Source organism: Homo sapiens, chromosome 4 (assembly GCF_000001405.40).
Source record: "Homo sapiens chromosome 4, GRCh38.p14 Primary Assembly".
Taxonomy (NCBI): Eukaryota; Metazoa; Chordata; class Mammalia; order Primates; family Hominidae; genus Homo; species Homo sapiens.
The window spans coordinates 127,102,743-127,124,547 of record NC_000004.12 but is presented as its reverse complement, the minus strand read 5'-3'; the positions used below and the strand labels follow the sequence as shown (position 1 = coordinate 127,124,547).

The 21,805-nt window shown below is 37.7% G+C and overlaps 1 long non-coding RNA gene across 3 annotated transcripts in view; it reads left to right on the top strand.

The window, feature by feature from the left end:
- Nucleotides 1–21,805, top strand: part of LOC102724210 (uncharacterized) — a 396,780-nt gene that overhangs the window by 346,008 nt on the left and 28,967 nt on the right. For all 3 annotated transcript variants that reach the window (XR_001741824.3, XR_939184.4, XR_001741825.2), the window contains one exon: nt 17,774–17,913. This is a non-coding gene — a long non-coding RNA (uncharacterized LOC102724210). The remainder of the gene's footprint in view (nt 1–17,773; nt 17,914–21,805) is intronic.

The window sequence follows — 21,805 nt, the reverse complement described above, 5'->3', positions numbered from 1 at the left end:
AATTAATACTTTTATAATTTCTTATGCTTGTCTTTACTGTAATCTCTAAACACAAATTGTAAAGATTTCATGGACACTTATCACTTCCCCAATCAATACCCTTATGATTTCCTATGCCTGTCTTTACTTTAATCTCTTAATCCTGTCAGCTGAGGAGGATGTATGTCACCTCAGGACACTGTGATGATTGCGTTAACTGCACAAATTGTAGAGCATGTGTGTTTGAACAATGTGAAATCTGGGCTCCTTGAAAAAAGAACAAGATAACAGCAATGTTCAGGGAATAAGAGAGATAACCTTAAACTCTGACCGCTGGTGAGCCGGGTGGAACAGAGCCATATTTCTCTTCTTTCAAAAGCAAATGGGAGAAATATCGCTGAATTATTTTTCTCAGCAAGGAACATCCCTGAGAAAGAGAATATGCCCCTGAGGGTGGGTCTCTAAAATGGCCCCCTTGGGTGTGGCCATCTTCTATGGTCGAAAATGTAGGGATGAAATAAACCCCAGTCTCCCATAGCGCTCCCAGGCTTATTAGGAAGAGGAAATTCCTGCCTAATAAATTTTTGTCAGACCGGTTGCTCTCAAACCCTGTCCCCTGATAAGATGTTATCAATGACAATGTTGCCTGAAACTTCATTAGCAATTTTAATTTCGCCCCAGTCCTGTGGTCTTGTGATCTCACCCTGCCTCCATTTGCCTTGTGATATTCTATTATCTTGTGAAGTACGTGATCTTTGTGACCCACACCCTATTCGTACACTCCCTCCCCTTTGAAAATCCCTAATAAAAACTTACTGGTTTTGCAGCTTGGGGGACATCACAGAACCTACTGACATGTGATGTCTCCCCCGGATGCCCAGCTTTAAAATTTCTGTCTTTTGTACTCTGTCCCTTTATTTCTCAAACAGGCCGATGCTTAGGGAAAATAGAAAAGAACCTACGTGACTATCGGGGGCAGGTTCCCCAGTAGCACATGATTCTATTTATTTTTCTAATTATGCAACTAACTAGAGTTAAATACTGAGAAATACTTTTCTAAGAAAAAGCATCTAAACATAGAAGGCAATGTTATGTAATTTCTAGTTTTTCTCAGCTTATAATGAGTACATGTATTCCAGGAAGTTTCATATATATTGTGTTTATTAAACATGAGTTTATTTTATTATTTTCTTTAATGGAAAAATTATAAGCTATGAACAGGAAAGTATATTAAGCAAATAGTGAATGTTGGGACTCAAAAGTGGTACTGATTACAGCAAGAGTACTGTTAACCTTAATTACAGAAATTGTACTCATTTATAGGGCACATTGTACACATAACGTCACAGGGTAATCAGTGGTTTGCCATTGAATAATCTCTGAAATTTAGTCGAACTAAAACTGCAAATCGGAAGCTTACAGTTGTTCATGATAAAAAAAAAAATCCTTGCACAGGCATGACTATCAAAGAATGATAGATTCTCATTTTTAAAAAATAGATCTGTATTATTTGAGTTTTTGTTTTGAAACTTCTTGGACAATTAGTGATACAGTAAGATCTAGAGAAGTAGTTTTAATATTTTGCTCCCCAATATTTTCAATAGACTAATAAAGTTCACTGGAACAAAAATTGTTTTATTATTTGTGATCTGGGAGAAATAATACCTTAAGTAATTGTTTTGAGAATTAAAGATAATGCAAGTAAATGTATATATATTTAAATAACCTTAATCTGAGTAGATTAACAAATTTATTGCTGAATTAGGTAAATGAGAAATAAATAAAACTAACTAGAAATACAGAACCACAATATCATCTCCAAACAAAGTTTAAAAGAAAATAATAGAGGCCACATATTTATGATAGTCATCTGTAAAGAACTGATCTGACTCAGTGGCTTACTCCTATAATCCAAGCTACTCCAGAGGCTGAGATGGGAGGATAGCTTGAGGCCAGGAGTTCCAGACCAGCCTGGGCATTGTGAGACTCCACCTTTAAAAAACTTAAAAAAAAATTAGCTGGGCATGATAGTACATGCCTGTAGTCCCAGCTACCCAGGAGGCTGAGGCAAGAGGATTGCTTGAGTCCAGGAGTTTGAGGTTGCAGTGAACTGTGATGATGCCACTGCACTCCAGCCTGGGTAACAGGGTGAGACCCCATCTCAAAAAACCAAAAAAAACAGACCTTTAATTACTTTATATTACTTTCAACTTTTCTATATTTTATTTTGGAGGGTATAATTCTACAATACATAATAAAATCATATACAATTTAGGTATCTGTATAGCTAAAAAATTATAGTTATAAAATATTTGGGTAGAGACATCATGCCATATTGGAAAGTACATGAATTTAAAGGTTCCATGCCCTTAGGCATTAGACATGGGTTTAAATTCTGGTCTCACCACTGATTAACTAGGTGATCTTGGGTACTGAGTTCTGCAGGTCTTATTTTCTTGTTTGTAACATGGGGTAAATACTATTTCATGATACAAGGTTGCTATGGGTTAAACAGGATTTTTCGAATTCAGCACTGGTGACACTTGGGCCAAATAATTCAGAAGCTATTGTGGGGGCTGTTCTATGCCCTGTAAGATATTTAGCAACATCCCTGACCTTTACCTACTGAATGCCAGTAGTACCTCTTCCACAGTTGTGACAACCAAAAGTGTCTCCAGACATTGACTAATATACCCTAAAGGGCAAAATTGATCCCAGTTGAGAACTACTGGGTCAGAGGTAAAATATATAATATACTTGCATGAAAATGACTTGAACTGAGGACAAAGAATGGGTGACATGAATATTTAAGGTGAATTAAAAAAAAACAGAGCTCCAAAAGTAGACTGAGAAGGATAACCATAGAAGAGACAGTAGATATTCATGAAAGAGTGGAGTCAGAGAAACCAAAAAAACGAAAAGTTGCAAGAGAAGATAAGAGGAAGACTCCCCATTGAACTGACTTCATTCACGCTTATAAGGACACTTTGAATGAGAGATCATAGTTGGCTTACAGGTGATGGGGTTTTGGGAACAAAATATGAGTAGTGTTTTTCAATAATTTTAATTTTCAGTACTTTTAGTTGGGGCTACTCTTTCTCTAGCTTCTGTATGCTCCATCACTTCCTATGCTTTAGGAGAAGGTAGAAAAAGGTGTCAGAGACTATAGGTCTAAATGAGTATTTTAAATTACATACTATAAAACATATTATTCTTTCATTCCTTAGAAATTTTTCAAAACTGACATCTTATGAGTTTACTTAAGAGTTTCAGTTTATATGGGCACAGATCTTCAAATTCCCGACTTCTAGTCAGGCAATATCCCTGTGCCTAATACTAATTTTAGTCAAGGTTCAAAAAATAATTCTATCATATTTTAGTATCAAAGTCTATTGGATATTGTGGTATTACCAAAATGTATGATCTGTTCTTCCTTCTCTGTCTTTTAATGGCAGTGCATGTAATTTAAAATACTTCAGCCTAGGCAGGGTCGTGCGTGTATGTGTGCGCTCAGTTTTAATTTGTGGAGTGGGGGTGGGGTGTGGTTACTTAAAACTCACAATAACCAAATATGGAATGCACATGCTGGAGGGGAGGGGTGGTTGGCTAGCACTTGAAAGACGCTAATCAAAATCCTACACTTTGGAGGTGTCTAATCCAAGCAAGCGTTCAGTTCTCTTCATCTCAGATCAACGCCAGATGGCATGGTAATTAGCGCATTGGATGTAGAAATGTTTCTTGCATTGGCAAAATTAGTTATGTTCAAGGTGTGGATCTGGGATTGGCTAGATATATTGATCTGGGGCTCCTGCATGCACAGGATTTCAGAATTTAGTGAACTTGATAGCCTGCATTTCTTGAGACTAATTCCTCGGTTTAGGATTCCAGACCCATCTGGTATGAGTGTGTTTATCTTAGGGCTTTTTTTTTCCCTGACTCCTACTGGGATAGCTGAATTCTGCCCCTACAGTTTGCTTCTTCTGTCTTCTATTAACCTTTTATGCAGGATGCTGTTGAATACCTAAAATATAGAGAGCTAGTAGTTCATCGAGCTTATAGAACTGTTTGTATTAGTATTTTTGTGGCATTTTAACTGTTAAACGTTTATGTGTGTGGCCGGATGTGGTTTGAACATTTACTTACAGCATTATTCTACTCAACAGCAAGGTTGCAGTTAAGAATACCTGCCAAAGCTAACAATATGTACTCAGAATAACCCAATAATTGTAAACTACCAAATTGGGTCAGTTTGCTACCATCTGACACTCATTCCTCTGAACTGGAGAAAATAAAAATGCTTATTTCTTTATAGATACCTGAGAAATTTTTGTAACTTAATGATTAAGCTTTAATTCTTTTGTATAATAGTTCAAAAATAATATTCACCTCATGTGTAATAATAGTTAATATTTTCTGAACCCTACACTGAGAATTTACATGTATACCTTATAATTTAACATTTAATAATCACATCTTACAAAGTAGTTTATTGTTATTATTATTCCCATTACTATTATTCCAATTTTTCAGATGAGAAAACTGAGGCATAGTGAGGATAAATAGCTTGTGTGTTCAAGGTCATACAATGAGCAATTAAGAGGCCTGAGATGATGAAATCAGGCCATCTGGTTCTTGATATCATGCTTTTAAACACAGCCTTTCAATAGCATTTAGGTTAAATAAGATAATTTATTTGAGAAATACCTATTAAGATATATATATATATATTCAAAAATTGGCTGGATATAAATAAGACCAAATATTGGTCTAATATGAAAAATCCTAGGATGATTCAATCTTCATATATATTTAGGTATATTTACTCCTTTTGTAAGAATGGACCTGCAATTATATTTTAAATTAATTCTGGCATTCATCTACCATGCATATGACTGGTTCTAGGAAATCATACAAAGAAATTTATCAAAGAAAGGATGCTTATAATGAAGCGAGTCCTTCCTTGTTATGCTACTGTGTGTATCCTTATCATGAATATGTTGCATCCATGTTTTACTTTGGTTTTATTATTTTTAATAGATCCAGTAAAACTTTATTTTTGAACACAGTATTTCCACAGTTGAAAAATTCTTCAAGAATTTTAGTAAAATGTCCTCACCCGGCAATGATTTTTGCTCCAAAAATTTTTCAGATCTATTAAAAATTTAACTTACCTTTTAGTTAAAAGTTCCTATAAAGAAATTCTGACTTTTCCACTAATTGTCGATCAGACCTTGAAAAGTATAATTGGAAACAAGGTTATTTTTTTTCTGTACACTACCTTCACACACTAATTTTTACTGACTGGAGTATTTTCTTGGCTTGGTTTCATAGGAACTAGGCAGGAGATTAAAGAGCTTGCTTTTGTTTTGCATGAAGAGAAAATACAATGGGTTTTTTTTCCTGGGTATGCATCAGCTTTAGATAAGCCTTCCAAGATCAAGAATGCTACAAAAGAAGTTAAAATATTTCTTAACCAGCTTTAGAGTTTCCACAAATGTGCTCAATTCACCTAACAGCATCTCAATGGGATGGCCACGGGAAAATGGAGGAAAAATGAGATTTCGTTCTGAGTTTTAAAGGCAGGAGGAGGGAATGTTTGTCCCATGTGTTCACTCTTTGGAAAGCAGAGGATGGTCTGTTTGTCATTAATATTAACATGAATTAGTGTTGCTTACCTCCCACTGGAGCACTTGTGATATAAAGACAGGGCAGGCCAAACTTAGTCCCAGGAAAGATGGGTAAATACTCCAGAGGACCTATAGACCTATTGTTTGAAAAATGTAAACAAGAATCAAACACCAAAGCCTAACAGAATGAGGGAGATTTTTTTTTACCACTGCCAATGTGTAGTTTGGTTGTCGTAGTTTCTATGCTGAGAAACACAGGGAGGGAAAATTCTTTATGAACAGAGTGTGCGGTTTCCTGTGTAAATTGAAATGATTAGCTGTTTTCTTTTTTTAATGGTGTTTGAAAAATGGTGTATCATGTTTGTCTCAATTTATAAAATAGGAGTTAAAATTTTTTCTTCCTTATGTAGGAATTTGTTGTGTTAAGTTATATAAACTAATAAGGAGAACAGATCTTCAACAAACCATCATTTAAATATGGGAAAGACACAAAATCCAGGTAGTTTATAATGGTAGAAATGAAAATAGAACTTTAACAGTCTATACTGTCATAATGATAGCTAATATTTATGATCATAGTTACCATAGATTTGGTATTGTTTGTAACTTTACATAAGTTTTTTATTCAATGAAAGCAACTCTATAAATATCCTTTCACTTTACATTTGCAGAAACTAAAGACAGTAGTGATTAACTTTCTCAAGACCTCGTATCTAACTGGTGGAGTTGAGACGTAACCAAACACTCATGATATTACTTTCCATTTAGATAATATCCTTTTCTGAACAAGGACTGGACAAGTTTTTGTAAATTTTTAAATGTTCTTCTGGAGGACGTGACATTAACAGATGACTCCATGTTAGCAGTTACAATATGTGAGAAAGACTGAATGCTCTGCATTTGTATTAGAAGGTGATCACTTAATTTCTATGGTCTTTGTAATGTATTAAGTAGGGCCTTGACTTGTCAAATGTATTTAGTAGAGAAATGATGTTGGAAGATTATGATAAAATTCTTAAACCTCATCATTTCAAAATTGAGGCAGATCATATAACTCTATTGGGCACCTAAACTGTCAGTAAACTCTGAGTGTGAAATATATGAGTAATGATTTGTGCTTTTGAAAAGTGTTCCTTCAAAAAGTTCCAGAGTTAAGATGGCCTACTGGATGGAAAGAGTGGGTATGAGTGTTCATTGAATATCCTCTCAGGCTTTTTGACTGTTAAGAGGCATAGCTCCCTTCTGTTCAGAGCCCTTTGTTTTGATTACTTCAAACAGAGAGAAAGCCTCTCTTTGGACTGACACCAATCTCTTCAATTTGTTTGGAAATTAAAAAAACAAACATGTTTATAAATAAGACAATAAAGAACATTGACAATGTTTGGTATTATCTAATTTTCAAAGTTAATATTGGGGTGCTTACTCTTTATCAGAAGCCCTGCTAGACATTTTATATCACACAACAAATTCCTGCATAAAGAGGAAAAAATTACCTCCTATTTTATATCAATGAAATTTTGTTAATATGTACAGCAAATCAGGAAATGGTACTATTTTAAGTTCTTATTTTATAGAAGATAAAACTAAAGTACATTACTTTCTCAAGATCATAAACAAGAAGGATGATCAGAGATCGTTTGCATTCATGGACAACAGCATATATTTCCAAGCTTTCCCCAGGGCCATGTTAACTCTCCCAATCTTTGTTGTAATATAGTCCAAAGATCTGTATTGTCTGGATATTTCAGAGAACACCTTATTCATCTACTATATCCATGATATAATTGTATCAAATTAATAAGAAGTGGCAGTTTTTTTTGAAGACTTGGTGAGATAGAAGAAAACAGAGGAGCACTGTGAAGATTCAAGTACATACAACATCAGTGACGTTTTTGGGAATATTACACACTGGGGCATGCTGCGACATTCACTCCAAAATAAAGGCCAAATCATTGTGTCTTTTCTACCCATAAAGAAAACTGCAATGCTTAGTAGACCCTTTGATTACTCCAGGGTTCTTGTGGTAAGGCAGCAGTAGGCAAGAATGGAGTCAGCAAGTTGGCAGGGGTAAATATTTGACCCTGATCATTAGCAAGAGGTAGGGCTACTGCTAGACAACTTGGGAAGGGAAGAATATGTTTTGTATCTAGGTGATACATTTGGACATCTCTTGTCAATCCCATGCTCCTCAGCCAAAACTGGAGAAAAGCATGGTAGTTAGAGATTCAGACCAATAGATTGAAGGTCTAGGTCATGCTACCAGACAATCTGTCTAGCTTATTCTCCTAATATCTCAATGGAAATCGCAAGGGGAATAAGGAGGAGAAATGTGATTTTAAGTTTCAGAAGCTGGAAGATAAAATGTTTGTTTCATGCTTGTATTCTTTGGAAAGCAGAGGATTGTGTGTTTGCCATTAGAATTAGGATGAGTTAAATGTCATAGACAAGGATGAAGGCAATTTGAATTGGCAGTGGAAAGGAGGATGCTAAGGAACAGTTATGGCCTAAAGAACAACTGCAGCAGCGGAGGCTATAGTTCATTCCACTAATATTTCTCTTGTAAGTTTCTCCAGAAAACAAGACCAATCAGAATATGGTGGAAACTCTTTTCAGATAGGGTGACTTACCATGAAAAGGAGTCAATCTGAGTTCAAGGTCTAGACTGCAGTGAATTCTCCACCCAGATTCCCAAGCTGATGTTTCACAACTCTGTCCCTCACTGGAAACATCGTTTGGCCCCAGAGAACTTCCTAGTTCAAGCAATTGTTCAGAAGATTCGGTTTGTTTCTAGTTTACAGTGTTTGTGGCCTCAGCTGGGAAGACTTGAAGACAGAGGATATTTTTATGGCTAGAATCTTGGGACATCTGGAGGTATCTACTCTTACATGTCTGAGAGTTGATGCTGGCTGTTGGCTGACACCTTAGTTGGGCTGTCAGCTGGAAGACCTACATGTACAGTGGCCTTTTCAAGTGAGCTCTCAGACTGCATTTCACAGCATGGTAATTAGATTTCTAGAGCTACCTTCCCAACACAGCAAGATAGAAGTACTTAGCATTTTATGATCTAGTTTTGGAAGTCAGGTACTATCAATTCTGTTGTACTCTATCACACTATGCAGTCACAAAAATCCACTCTGCTTCAAGGGTAAGGGGATAGACCCCACCAATTGATGGGAGGAATGTCAATGTCACATTGTAGAAACACGGTGTGGAGTGGGGGATATTGTTGTAGTCATCTTTGGAAAATGTAATCTGCCACATCAAGGAGGAGGAGACTAACTGCTTTTCTCTTGCTTGTGCATCATACATTTTTCAGTACATCACTGATTCCTTAATGTTTTGAAGTACTTTGAAGAAAACATTTCTTTGTCAAAAATAAAAGCAGAAAACAAAGGAGATAAAAAATATCGAAGTCTTCTAGCTGCATGTAAGATAAAGTTTAAATTCTTAAATTAGCATTCAGACATAATTGCCTTTTACCCTCAACTTGATATTACTTCCAGTCATATACTGTGTTAGTTCATTCCCATTGCTATAAAGAAATACCTGACACTGAGTAATTTATTTTAAAAAAAGAGGTTTAATTAGCTCATGGTTCTGCAGGCAATACAGGAAGCATAGTGGCTTCTGGGGAGGCTTCAGAAACTTATAATCATGGTGGAAGGTGAAGGGGAAGTGAGGATTTCACATGGCCAGAGCAGAAGGAAGAGAGTGGGGAGGTACCATACACTTTTAAACAACCAGATCTTGTGAGCACTCCCTCACTATTATGAGAGCAGAACTGGGAGGGAAATCCACCCTTGATATCCAGTCACCTCCCACCAGATCCCACCTCTAACATTGGGGATTACAATTCAACATGAGATTTGGGCAGAGGCACAGATCCAAATTGTATCATTCAGCCTCTAGTCCCTCAAAAATCTCATGTCCTTCTCATTTTGCAATATACAATCATGCTTTCCCAACAGTACACCAAAGTCTTAACTTATCCCAGTGTTAACTAAAAAGTCAAAAGTCCAAAGTTTCATCTGAGACAAGGCAAGTCCCCTCCACCTATGACCATGTAAAATCAGAAACAAGTTAGTTACTTACAAGACACAATAGAAGTATAGGCATTGAGTAAATATTCCCGTTCCAAAAGAGAGAAATTGGCCAAAAGAAAGGGGCTACAGGCCCCATGAAAGTCTGAAACCCAGCAGGGTAGCCATTAAATCCTAAAGCCCAAAAATAATCTCCTTTGACTCCTTGTCTCACATCCAGGGCACACTGATGCAAGGGGTGGGCCTCCAACCCTGTGCAGCTTGTGCAGCTCCTTGTGCAGCTCCAACCCTGTGACTTTGCAGGATTCAGCCCCCACAGCTACTCTCCTGGGGTGACATTGAGTGCCTGCAGCTCTTCCAGGCTAAGAGTTCCAGCTACCAGTGGATCTACCATTCTGGGGTATGGAGGATGGTGGCCCTCTTCTCACAGCTCCACTAGGCAGTGCCCCAGTGGGAACTCTGTGTGGGAATTCCGAACCAATGTTTTCCCTCTGCACTGCCCTAGTAGAGGTTCTCTGTGAGGGCTCTGCCCCTGCAGCAGGCTTCTGCCTTTACATCTAGGATTTTCCATACATCCTCAGAAATCTAGGTAGAGGCTCCCAAGCCCCAAATCTTGCACTCTGTGCACCTGAAGGCTTAACACCATGTGGAAACCACCAAGGCTTAGGACTGGCACCCTCTGAAGCAGTGGCTTGAGCTGTACCTGCACCCCTATGAGCCATGGGTGGAGCTGGAGTGGCTAGGATGTAGGGAACAATGTCTCAAGACTGGGCAGGGCAGCAGGATCCTGAGTCTGGCCCAGGAAATATTCTTCCCTCTGAGGCCTCTGGGCCTGTGATGGGAGGGGTGACCTCAAAGGTCTCTGAAATGCCTTGGAGGCCATTTTTCATTGTATTGGCTGTCAGCTCTTGGCACCTCTTTACTTATGCAAATTTCTACATCCTGCTTGAAGTCCTCCCCAGAAAGTGGGCTTTTCTTTTCTACTGCAAGGCCAGGCTGTAAATTTTCCAAACTTTTACATTCTGCTTCCTTTTAAATATAAGTTCTAGTTTCAGGTCATTTATTTGTTCACACATATGAGCATAGGTTGTTAGAAGCATCCCAGGCCACCTCGTGAATACTTTATTGCTTAGAAATTCCTTCCACCAGATAACCTAAATCATCTCTCAAGTTCAAATTCTACAGATCCTTGGAACAGGGGCACAATACTGCTAGTCTCTGCTAAAGCATAGCAAAAGTGACCTTTACTCCAGTTCCCAATAAGTTCCTCATTTCCATCTGAGACCTCATCAGCCTGGACTTCACTGTTCATATCACTCTCAGCATTTTGGTCACAATTATTTAACAAGTATCTAAGAAGTTCCGAACTTTCCCTCATCTTGCTTTGTTCTTTTGAGCCCTCCAAATTGTTCTAACCTCTGCTTGTTACCCAGATCCAAAGCTGCTTCCCCATTTTCAGGTTTCCTTATAGCAATGCCCCGCTCTTTGGTACCAGTTTTCTGTATTAGTCCCTTCTTGCATTGCTACCAAGAAATACTTGAGACTGGTTAATTTATAAAGAAAAGAGGTTTCATGGGCTTATGGTTCTGCAAGCTGTGCAGAAAGCATAGTGGCTTCCGGGGAGACCTTGGGAAACCTACAGTCATGGTGGAAGGTGAAGGGGAAGCCAGGACATCACAGGGTTTGAGCAGAAGGCCTCATCTCCAGCGTTGGGGATTGCAGTTTGACATGAGATTTGGGTGGGCACACAGATTCAAACCATATCATATACTGTAACTTATTGTTTATTTATATAATATATCTATGCCAGGATGTGTCCTCAAGCTTTTTGCCTTCATATGTATTTTTTCCTAATCTCAGAATTCCACCATAGAGTGCTTCCACTGTTTGCCTAATAAAGTCCTTAAGGCTTTTCCTTCATGCCCAACCAGGTAGTGATCCCTCCTTTCTGCTTTCAAGCCTACTACAGCACCAATTAAGTACCAATCATGTCGTTTATCACAGTGTTCTGAACTACACGTTATTTTAGGAAGAGGCAATGCTTTATCATAATTTGTTTGTTAGTAAATACTATTTTCAATGCAGAGGATATCTTCCCACAGCAAATTTTAGAGGAGAGATCTTAACTTTTTCTAACCTTATTGCTTGTGTGAAGTAGTTATTCTTCATGGTATGACTCTATCTAACAAACCTGATTGTGGTGTGTTCTAGTTGTTCCAGATTTCAAAATGTTCAGAGGGTTAACTCACTTTTTATTGGGTTCCCAGGGTATGCAAACTGTTAATATGAAAGCATACAAGCTATTTGATAATGTTAATGATCCACTGAGTGACTGTTATAAAGTAAATTCAGTTGGAATAGTGACACAAATTAATTTCCAGGGAAAGCTTTTAAAATGCATTGTATATATTATCCATTCAAATGTATTATATATAAAAATATAAATAAATAAATATATATATATAACTATCTGTGCACACATGTGTATGTGTGTGTGTGTGTGAGTAGTTTTTTGAAAATTTATTAAATTTGTTGTGGAACATGAATTTAAACAGTTAATCTTAGGATTTTGATTGCTTTAATTTTGCCAGTATGCTTTGTTCCTCTCTAAGAAAGGCTTATAGTAAAGCAGCATTTTCTATGTTTGCATAGTAGTCTCTAAGTTTGTCGGATTACTTCTTGCTTGCAGAGGGCAGCCATGTTACAGTGTGACCCTGCTTCTGCTACTTTGCCTGAGAAAGAACTTGACCCAGAAGAGCCAATGAGTCTTTTCTCCAAGATTTTTGAATTTGAAACTGAAAGAAAATTGGGCCAATCTTGCTTGGGTGCCTGGTTTTTGGGTGAATTATAACATGCAAGAACTGTTAATAGCCTTTCTTGCCATATAGGAGTGAAAGGAGGCTGTTTTTTTTTTAACCAAGAAAAAGAAGAATAAAGTGGGAAGGAGAGAGAGAGAGAAAAAGTCCTTAGAACATTTTTCTCCTTGGGTCTTGCCATCTCAAATCCAATCATATTCCTGAATTTAGGTTCTGTAAGACATTCTATATTCCCCCCTTTTTTTAAAAATTATTTTAGGTTCAGAGGTACAAGTGTAGGTTTGTTACATAGGTAAACTTGTGTCATGGGAGTTTGTTGTATACATAATTTTATCACTCAGGTATTAAGCCTAGTACCCATTATTTATTTTTCCTGACCCTTTTCCTCCTCTCACCCTCCACCCTCTGAAAGGCCACAGAGTGTGTTGTTCCCCTCTATGTGTCCATGTGTTCTCATTATTTAGCTCCCACTTCTAAGTGAGACATGCAGTACTTGGTTTTCTGTTCCTGTGTTAATTTGCTAGGGATAATGGCCTCCACTCCATCCATGTGCCTACACAGGACATGATCTTGTTCTTTTTTATGGCTACATAGTATTCCATGGTGTATATATATTAATACCACATTTTCTGTAAGCAGTTAACCAATGATAATTGATGGGCATTTAGGTTGATTTCATGTCTTCACTATTGTGAATAATACTGCAATGAATGTATATGTGCATCATGTGTCTTTGTAGTAGGTGGGTATATACCCAGTCATGGGATTCCTGGATCAAATGGTATTTCTGTCTTTAGGTGTTTGAGGAATTGCCACACTATCTTCCACAATGGGTAAACTAACTTATACTCCCACCAACAGTGTATAAGCATCTCATTTTCTCTACAACCTTGCCAGTATCTTATTTTCTAACTTTTTAATAACAGGCATTCTGACTGATGTGAGATGATATCTCATTGTGGTTTTTATTTGCATTTTTCTAATGATCACTGATGTGAGCTTTTAAAAATATGATTGTTGGCCACATGTATGTCTTATTTTGAAAAGCGTGTGTTCATGCCATTTGCTTATTTTTATGTTTTTTTCTTATAATTTATTTAAGTTCCTTATAGATGCTGGATGTTAGACCTTTGTCAGATGCATATTTTGCTGCAAAAATGGATTCTCATTCTGTAGGTTGTCTGTTTACTCTGATAATAGTTTATTTTGCTGTGCAGAAGCTCTTTTGTTTAATTAAATCCTGCTTGTCAACTTTTGCTTTTGTTGCAGTTGCTGTTGGCATCTTCGTCATAAAATCTTTGCCTGTGCCTATATCCTGAATCATATTGCCTAGATTGTCTTATAGTTTTGGGTTTTACATTTAAGTCTTTAATCCACCTTGAGTTGATTTTTGTATATGGTGTAAGGAAGGGACCCAGTTTCAATCTTCTGCATATGGCTAGTCAGTTATCCCTGCATCATTTATTGAATGGAGAATCCCTTCCCCATTTCTTGTTTTCATCAGATTTGTCAAAGATCAGATAGTTGTAGGTGTGTGGTCTTATTTTTGGGTTCTCTATTCTGTTCCGTTGGTCTGTATGTCTGTTTTTGTGCCCATACCATGCTGTTTTGGTTACTGCAGCCCTTTAGTATAGTTTAAAGTCAGATAGCATGATGCCTCCAGATTTGTTCCTTTTACTTAGGATTGCCTTGCTATTTGGACTCCTCTTTGATTTCAAATGAATTTTAAAATAATAGTTTTTTCTAGTTCTGTGAAGAATGTCAATGGTAGTTTAATGGGAATAGCATTGAATCTATAAATTGCTTTGGCAGTATGGTCATTGTAATAATATTGATTCTTCCTATCCATGAGCATGGAATGTTTTTCCATTGGTGTCCTCTGACTTCTTTGAACAGTAGTTTGTAATTTTCCTTATAGAGACCTTTTGCCTCCATAGTTAGCTGTATTCCTAGGTATTTTATTCTTTTTGTGGCAATTGTGAATGGGAGTTTGTTCCTGATTTGGCTCTTGGCTTGACTGTTGTTGGTTTATAGGAATGCTAGTGATATTTGCACATTGATTTTGTATCCTGAGACTTCACTGAAGTTGTTTATCAGCTTCAGAAGCTTTGGGGCTGAGACTAATCAGTTTTCTAGATATAGGATCATGTCTTCAACAAACAGGGATAGTTTGACTTCTTCTCTTCTTCTTTGGATGCCCTTTATTTCTTTATCTCGCCTGATTACCCTGGCCAGAACTACCAATACTATGTTGAATAGGAGTGGTGAGAGAGGGTATCCTTGTTCTGTGCCAGTTTGCAAGGAATGCCTCTAGCTTTTGCCCATTCAGTGTAATGTTGGCTGTTGGTTTGTCATATAAGGCTTTTACTATTTTGTGGTATGTTTTTTCAATACCTAGCTTATTGAGAGTTTGCAACATGAAGGGATGTTGAATTTTATTGAAAACCTTTTCTACATTGATTGAGATAATCACGTGGTTTTTGTCTTTAGTTCTGTTTTTGTGATGAATCACATCTCTTGATTTGTGTATGTTGAACCAACCTTGCATCCTGGGAATGAAGCCTCCCTAATTGTGGTGGATAAGCTGTTTGATGTGCTGCTGAATTCGGTCTGTCAGTATTTTGTTGAAGATTTTTGCATCAATGTTTATAAAGGATTTTGGCCTGAAGTTTTCTTTTATTTTTGCTGTATCCCTGCCAGGTTTGGGTATCAGAATGATGCTGGCCTAGTAGAATGAGCTGGGGAGGATTCCCCACTTTTCAATGTTTTGGAATAGTTTTAGTAGGAATGGTAACAGCTCTTCTTTGTACCTCTGGTGGAATTCAGCTGTGAATCCATCTGGTCCTGGGGTGTTTCTGATTGGCTATTTATTACTGTCTCAAATTCAGAACTCATTATTGGTCAGTTCAGGCATTCAATTTCTTCCTGGCTCAGTGTTGCGAGGGTGTATGTGTCCAGGAATTTATCTATTTTTCTAGATTTTCTAGTTTATGTGCACAGAGGTGTTCAAAATATTCTCTGATGATTGTTCATATTTCTGTGGGGTCAATGGTAATATCCACTTGTCATTTCTGATTTGATTTATTTGAATCTTCTCTCTTTTCTTCTTTATTAGTCTAGCTAGTGTTCTATCTTATTAATATTTTCAAAAAATCAGCTCCTGGATTCATTGATCCTATGAATGGTTGTTCATGGTTCTGATTTTGGTTATTTCTTGTCTCCTGCTATCTTTGGGGTTTGTTTGCTCTTGGTTGTCTGGTTCTTTTAGTTGTGATGTTAGGCTGGTATGTTGTATCTTTGTTCTCATTAGTTTTGAGGAACTTGATTTCTGCCTTAATTTCATTATTTACCCAAAATTCATTCAGGAGTGGGTTATTCAATTTTCATGTAATTGTATGGTTTTGAGTGAATCTCTTAGTCTTTATTTCAAATTTGATTGTGCTGTGGTCTGAGAGACTGTTATGATTTCAGTTCTTTTGCATTTGCTGAAGAGTGTTTTACTTCCAATTATGTGATTGGTTTTAGAGTAAGTGCCATGTGGTGATGAGAAGAATGTATAATCTGTTGTTTTTGAGTGGAGAGTTCTGTAGATATCTATCAGGTCAATTTGATCTAGTGCTGAGTTCAGTTGCTGAATATCTTTATTAGTTTTGTGTCTCAATGATCTGTCTAATATTGTCAGTGGGGTGTTAAAGTTTCCCATTATTATTGTGTAGGAGTCAAAGTCTCTTTGAAGGTCTCTAAGAACTTGCTTTATGAATTTGGATGCTCCTTTATTGGGTGCATGTTTATTTAGGATAGTTAGATATTCTTGTTGAATTAAAGCCTTTATCATTATATAATGCCCTTCTTTGTCTTTTATAATCTTTGTTGGTTTAAAATCTGTTTTGTCAGGAACTTAGATTGCAACCCCTGCTTTTTTCTGTTTTCCATTTGCTTGGTAGATTTTCCTCCATCCCTTTATTGTGAGCCTATATGTGTCTTTGCATATGAGATGAGTCTCTTGAAGACAGCATACTGATGGTTCTTGGTTCTTTAGCCAGGTTGCCACTCTGTGTCTTTTAATTTGGGGGATTTATCTTATTTACATTTAAAATTGTATTATTATATGTGGATTTGATCCTGTCACCATGATGTTAGTTGGTTATTTTGCAGACTTGTTTATGTGGTTGCTTTATAGTTTCACTGGTTTGTATACTTCAGTGTGTTTTTGTAGCAGCTGATAATGGTCTTTCCTTTCTATATTTTGTGCTTCCTTCAGGAGTTCTTGTAAGTCAGGTCTGTTGGTAACAAATTCCCTTAGCATTTGCTTGTCTGAAAATGATCTTATTTCTCTTTCACTTATAATACTTAATCTAGCCGGATATGTAATTCTGGGTTGGAATTTCTTTGCTTTAAGAATGTTGAGTATTGGCCCCCCAATCTGCTCTGGCTTGTAGGAATTAAGCTGAGAGGCTTACTGTTAATCTCATGGGCTTCCCTTTGTAGGTGACCTGGCCTTTCTCTTTAGCTGCGTTTAATATTTTTTTCTTTCCCTTTCACCTTGGAGAATGTGATGACTGTGTGTGTTGGGGATAATCTTCTCATGAAGTATCTCTTTGGCATTCTCCACATTTCCTGAATTTGAATGTTGGCCCTGCTAGCTAGGTTGGGGAATTTTTCATGGATGATATCCTGAAATATGTTTTCCAAATTGGTTCCATCCTCCTTATCTCTTTCAGGTACACTAATCTGTCATAGATTCAGTCTCTTTATATAATCCCATATTTCCTGGAGGTTTTATTCATTCAATTTTATTCTCTTTTTCTCTATTCTTGTCTGCCTGTCTTATTTCAAAAAGATAGTCTTCAAGCTCTGAGATTCTTTCCTCTGCTTAGTCTATTCTGCTATCAATACTTGTGATTGCATTATGAAATTCTTGTATTGTGTTTTTCAGCTCTATCTGTTTGGTTACAGTCTTCTCTATACTGACTATGTTGTCCGTCAGCTTCTGCAATGTTTTATCATGACTTTTAGCTTCCTTGCATTGGGTTACAATGTACTCTTTTAGCTCAGTAAATTTTGTTCCTATCCATATTCTGAATTCTATGTCTGTCATTTCAGCCATCTCAGCCTCATCCCAGTCTGGAACCCTTGCTGGAGAGGTGATGTGGTCATTTGAAGGAAAGAAGGCACTCTGGCTTTTTGTGTTTTCAGCGTTCTTGTGCTGATTCTTTCTCATCTTTGTGGGCTTATCTACCTTCAATCTTTGATGTTGCTGACCTTTGGATGGATTTTTTTTTCTTTTAACAGTCTGACTCCTTTTCCATAGGGCTGCTGTAGTATCCTAGGGGTCTACTCCAGTCCCTGGTTACCTCGAATTTTCCAGTCCCTGGATGTCTCACCAGTGAAGGTTGTGAAACAGCAAAAATGGCAGCCTGCACCCTCCTCTGGGAGCTCCATCCCAAGAAGGTATGGAAGTTTTGCCAACCTGAGTGGACCTGTAGGAGGTGGCTGGAGACCCTAGATGGGAAGTCTTACCCAGTCAGGAGGAATGGGATCAGCGACCTGCTTTAAAAAAGTAGTTTGGCCACGTTTTCTTAGAGCAGCTGTACTGTTCTGGGGGTCCACTTCAGCCCCCACCCCCCTCCCCTGCCCGTCACCTTGGACACTCTGAAACCCAAGGCTGGAACAGCTAAGTTACTGAAACAGCAAAGATGAAGGCCCACCCCTTCTGCTGTGAGCTCCTTCCTGGGGATACCTGAAACCTCTGTCAGCTGAACACCAGTGGGGGTGACCAGAGACATTTGTTGGGAGAGTCTACCCAGTGATGAGGAACAGGGTTGGGGACCCACTTAAAGAAGTAGTCTGGTCACATTTTCATGGAGGTGCTGTGCCATGCTGGGGTACCACCTCCATTTCCTGTCAGCTTGAGCTCTCCAAGCCCAAAGGCTGGAATTGCTAAGTTGCCCAAACAGCAAATATGGAGGCCCACCCCTCCCTCTGGGAGTTTCATCCCAGGGAGTTTTCAAATTTCTATAGGATGGAGAACACTGGTGGGGGTGGCTGGAGACCCCAGTTGGGAGGTTCTGCCCAGTGAGGAGGAATGGGATTGGGGACCTGATTAAAAAAAGCAGTGTGGCCACACTTTTACAGAGTAGCTGTGCTGTGCTGGGGTACTGCTTCCAAAACCCACAGGCTGGAATGGCTAAGTTGCCCAAACAGCATAAATGGTGGCCTGACGTTCTATATTCCTTATAGACATTATCCCTTTTTTTAATCTAGTTCTTTATTTTTCATTTTTAACCAAAAGTATTTCAATTAAAATATCATAGAACTGCCTTTGTTTTTCTCTGAGAATTTTATGGAATTAATGTTATATGAAACTCATTTTGGATAATGTTGGCTATTAAATGGTAAAAATCAAACAAAAGGGACAGCTTCTCCCAATCTCATTCTGTGACAAACTGGACAAAATTCTGGTTCTTCTGAATTCCTAATCTATAGCACATTATCAGTTTTATTTTATATGCACATGTTTCTAAACATAATCATGAAATTTAGAGCTTTAGGACACCTTGGAAATGATGTCATTGAACTTTTAAATTTTACTTCAAAAGAAATGGAAATCCAGAGGAGGTCAGTGTTTTACTCATGATTACACAGATAAATGGCAATTATCTCAACCATGCATTTTCCATACATTGCAATCCATAGCATCCCTATTAATAAGGAGTCTCTTTGTGCAAAAATGCCTTAGTGAATCTCTCCAGATCCTGCTTGTTTGCAGGAAGTGATGTTTGTTAACTTTCTAGGTACTTCTTAGAGGCCTACTGCTTTCCCAGTACTTTCTATTTCCCACTTCATCCTGTCTGGATCATGGTGACAACTGCAGCAGTCACTTTAGATACAGAAGTGGAAACCACAGTTGAGATAGAGCTGCCTCCACCACAGAGTCCCTGGACAACCTCAGGAATCAGGGTCCATTATAAAAGACAAATTAACCTTTGCCTTGTCTGAGCCATTGCGCTTTGGCTGTCTCATTACTGCTACCTTTCTTATACCCTAATTAATATGCCCTAAAAATAAATCCTCATGAAGTTTTTGTATGATTAAATTATATATTTACAGCACTTAGAAAAGGCAGGTAAACAGAGTCAGTGTCGAATAAAAAATAGCTGTTATTTTTCAAATTATTATTTAATTCAGAGATAAATTAGCTCAAATTGAAGACTAAAAGATTGTGGAAGTGTAACTGCTGTTTAATTAGTGTTAATCTTTCAAGTTGTTATGGCATATATTATAAGACAAGAAGGAGTAAAATTTCCCATTTACTACCTTACCAGAGATGGTGTAATATGGGGAAGTTTCAGATAGGAAGATGAAAGAGTAATCTGCTTGGTTAATTCTCCAATAACCACCAAGAAGGATAGCAATTAGTGTCCAAATGAGCAATGACTTTATATCTGGGATGGTGCCCAGAAGGTGATGGCCCAAGATGATCAACTCATTCAAGCTTCTGAACTATCACTAGGGTTTTGCTTTTTACTAATGCCATTTTCAAAATAGGCAGATAGTCTATCCCTGCCAACAAATTCAATTTCAAAAAGAAAAGAACGGTGAAGATTAAAAACAAAACAATACAAAGCAAAGAGTGGGGAGGGGAAAGTGTATATCCTCTATGGAAGTTAGGTTGTATTTTATTTTTTAATTTGAAGTGTGATCCAAAGTGCCTTTGTACTGACATGTGAAATAATCTGCTCTTTTGTGATTGACTAATGAATATCACACAGTGGTAATGGACAGGAAGACAAAGACAACCTCAGAAATAGGTCCTGTGAACCTCACTCGATGCAGAGGCTGCTGGTTTTGCTAGAAAACTCAGTGGTTACAGAACGATTACTGGGGAAATGCCTCCCAATTCTTGAGCCAATGCAGATCTGGACAGGGATATATAAAGACATTATTAATTTGGATGAAAGTTTTGTTTTTGCCAATATATCTTTTATTTGGCTCCAGATAAGACGGTTGTTCTGAGGTTTTTGAAAGACCTTAAGTATGCTATTTATTAGAGAAACATTCATTTAATCAAATAACACTCACTTTATAGAGGAAGAAATATTCCTCTGCTTTGAGGGCCATAGGTCATACATTGGCGTATGGCTTTGGTCACTGACAGTGCTGACGTGATGGGGAATTTTTTTCTTCTTCCCTTATGAGGATTCTATTCTGTAATCTCTGGCTGCATTAGAAACTTCACTGCTTAACAGAAACAATTGTTCTTTGTTCTCATGGCCAAATGAAAGCTCTTGTTTCCAGTCCAGCTCTGCTGGCAGGTTAGATGCAATCAGGGGTGTCATCAAGGAAAGAAGAGAATATGCAGAATACAACCACTTGTTGTTTTTAGAGGCAAAAGGCCCACTTTTTTGGCAAAGTCAAAGCTAAGCTCATGTGAGAGAAAAAAAGGCTAAATTATGGATCTTTCAATGTGATGGTTAATGCTTTGTACAAATTCAAAGTAAGAGTTGAGAGCTTCAACACTTCTGACCACTTTCATAAGATAGACACCTTCACAGGCAGGCTTAGACGTTTTTACATGTTTCAGAAACTCGAGCTTAAAATGTGATGCATCAAACACATCCATAATGCCAACACCTTCGAGTTCATATATTTATTCAAGAATCTTTCATTTGATGTCTGTAGTAGAAAGCCTATCATAAAATGATTTGTGGAATATCCTTCTGAAAAAAAATGGCTAGAAGAATGTAGAGGAATCTCTTTTGTTGCAAGTTTGAGGATTTTTAACTAGATTACTATCACACTAAGCTAGGTCTTTCCCTCTTCACAAACACTCCATTTTTCATAATATTGATTAGCCTGCTGCTGAAATAGCTCTCTGGTTCTTTGGTCATTGTTTGTGAATTACCTCCATGAAGTGAGGTAGCACCTACCTTTGTGAGGTAGATTAGGGTTAGGGAATAAGTATAATTCATTTTTGTATTTGTGATTCCTAATTGCACGTAAGAGCTGAAGAAATTAAGAGGGAAGCTAAAATCTAATTCAGAAAAATGCCTCCATGGCTGATAGGTATTGCTAGAAGCTGTGTCACTAGTGTTTTCAAAGATATGTGTATGGTGCAAGTGCAGAGAGAGATGACAGGGGCTGAATCAGTTGGAGTTCTAGAATGTAAGCTGGCCAGGGAGCCATTAGAGAGAAGGGCGGGTCATTGAGGAAACCAATGGAAGAGGAAATTTGAAGGAAAAGGAAATGGACATCCTCTTTAGTTGGAACAGTGTTTGAGGGCTGAGAAAAAAACTGTTAAAGAGTACTGAAGGAGAGAAGAGTCTCAGGGGAATTGTGAGGC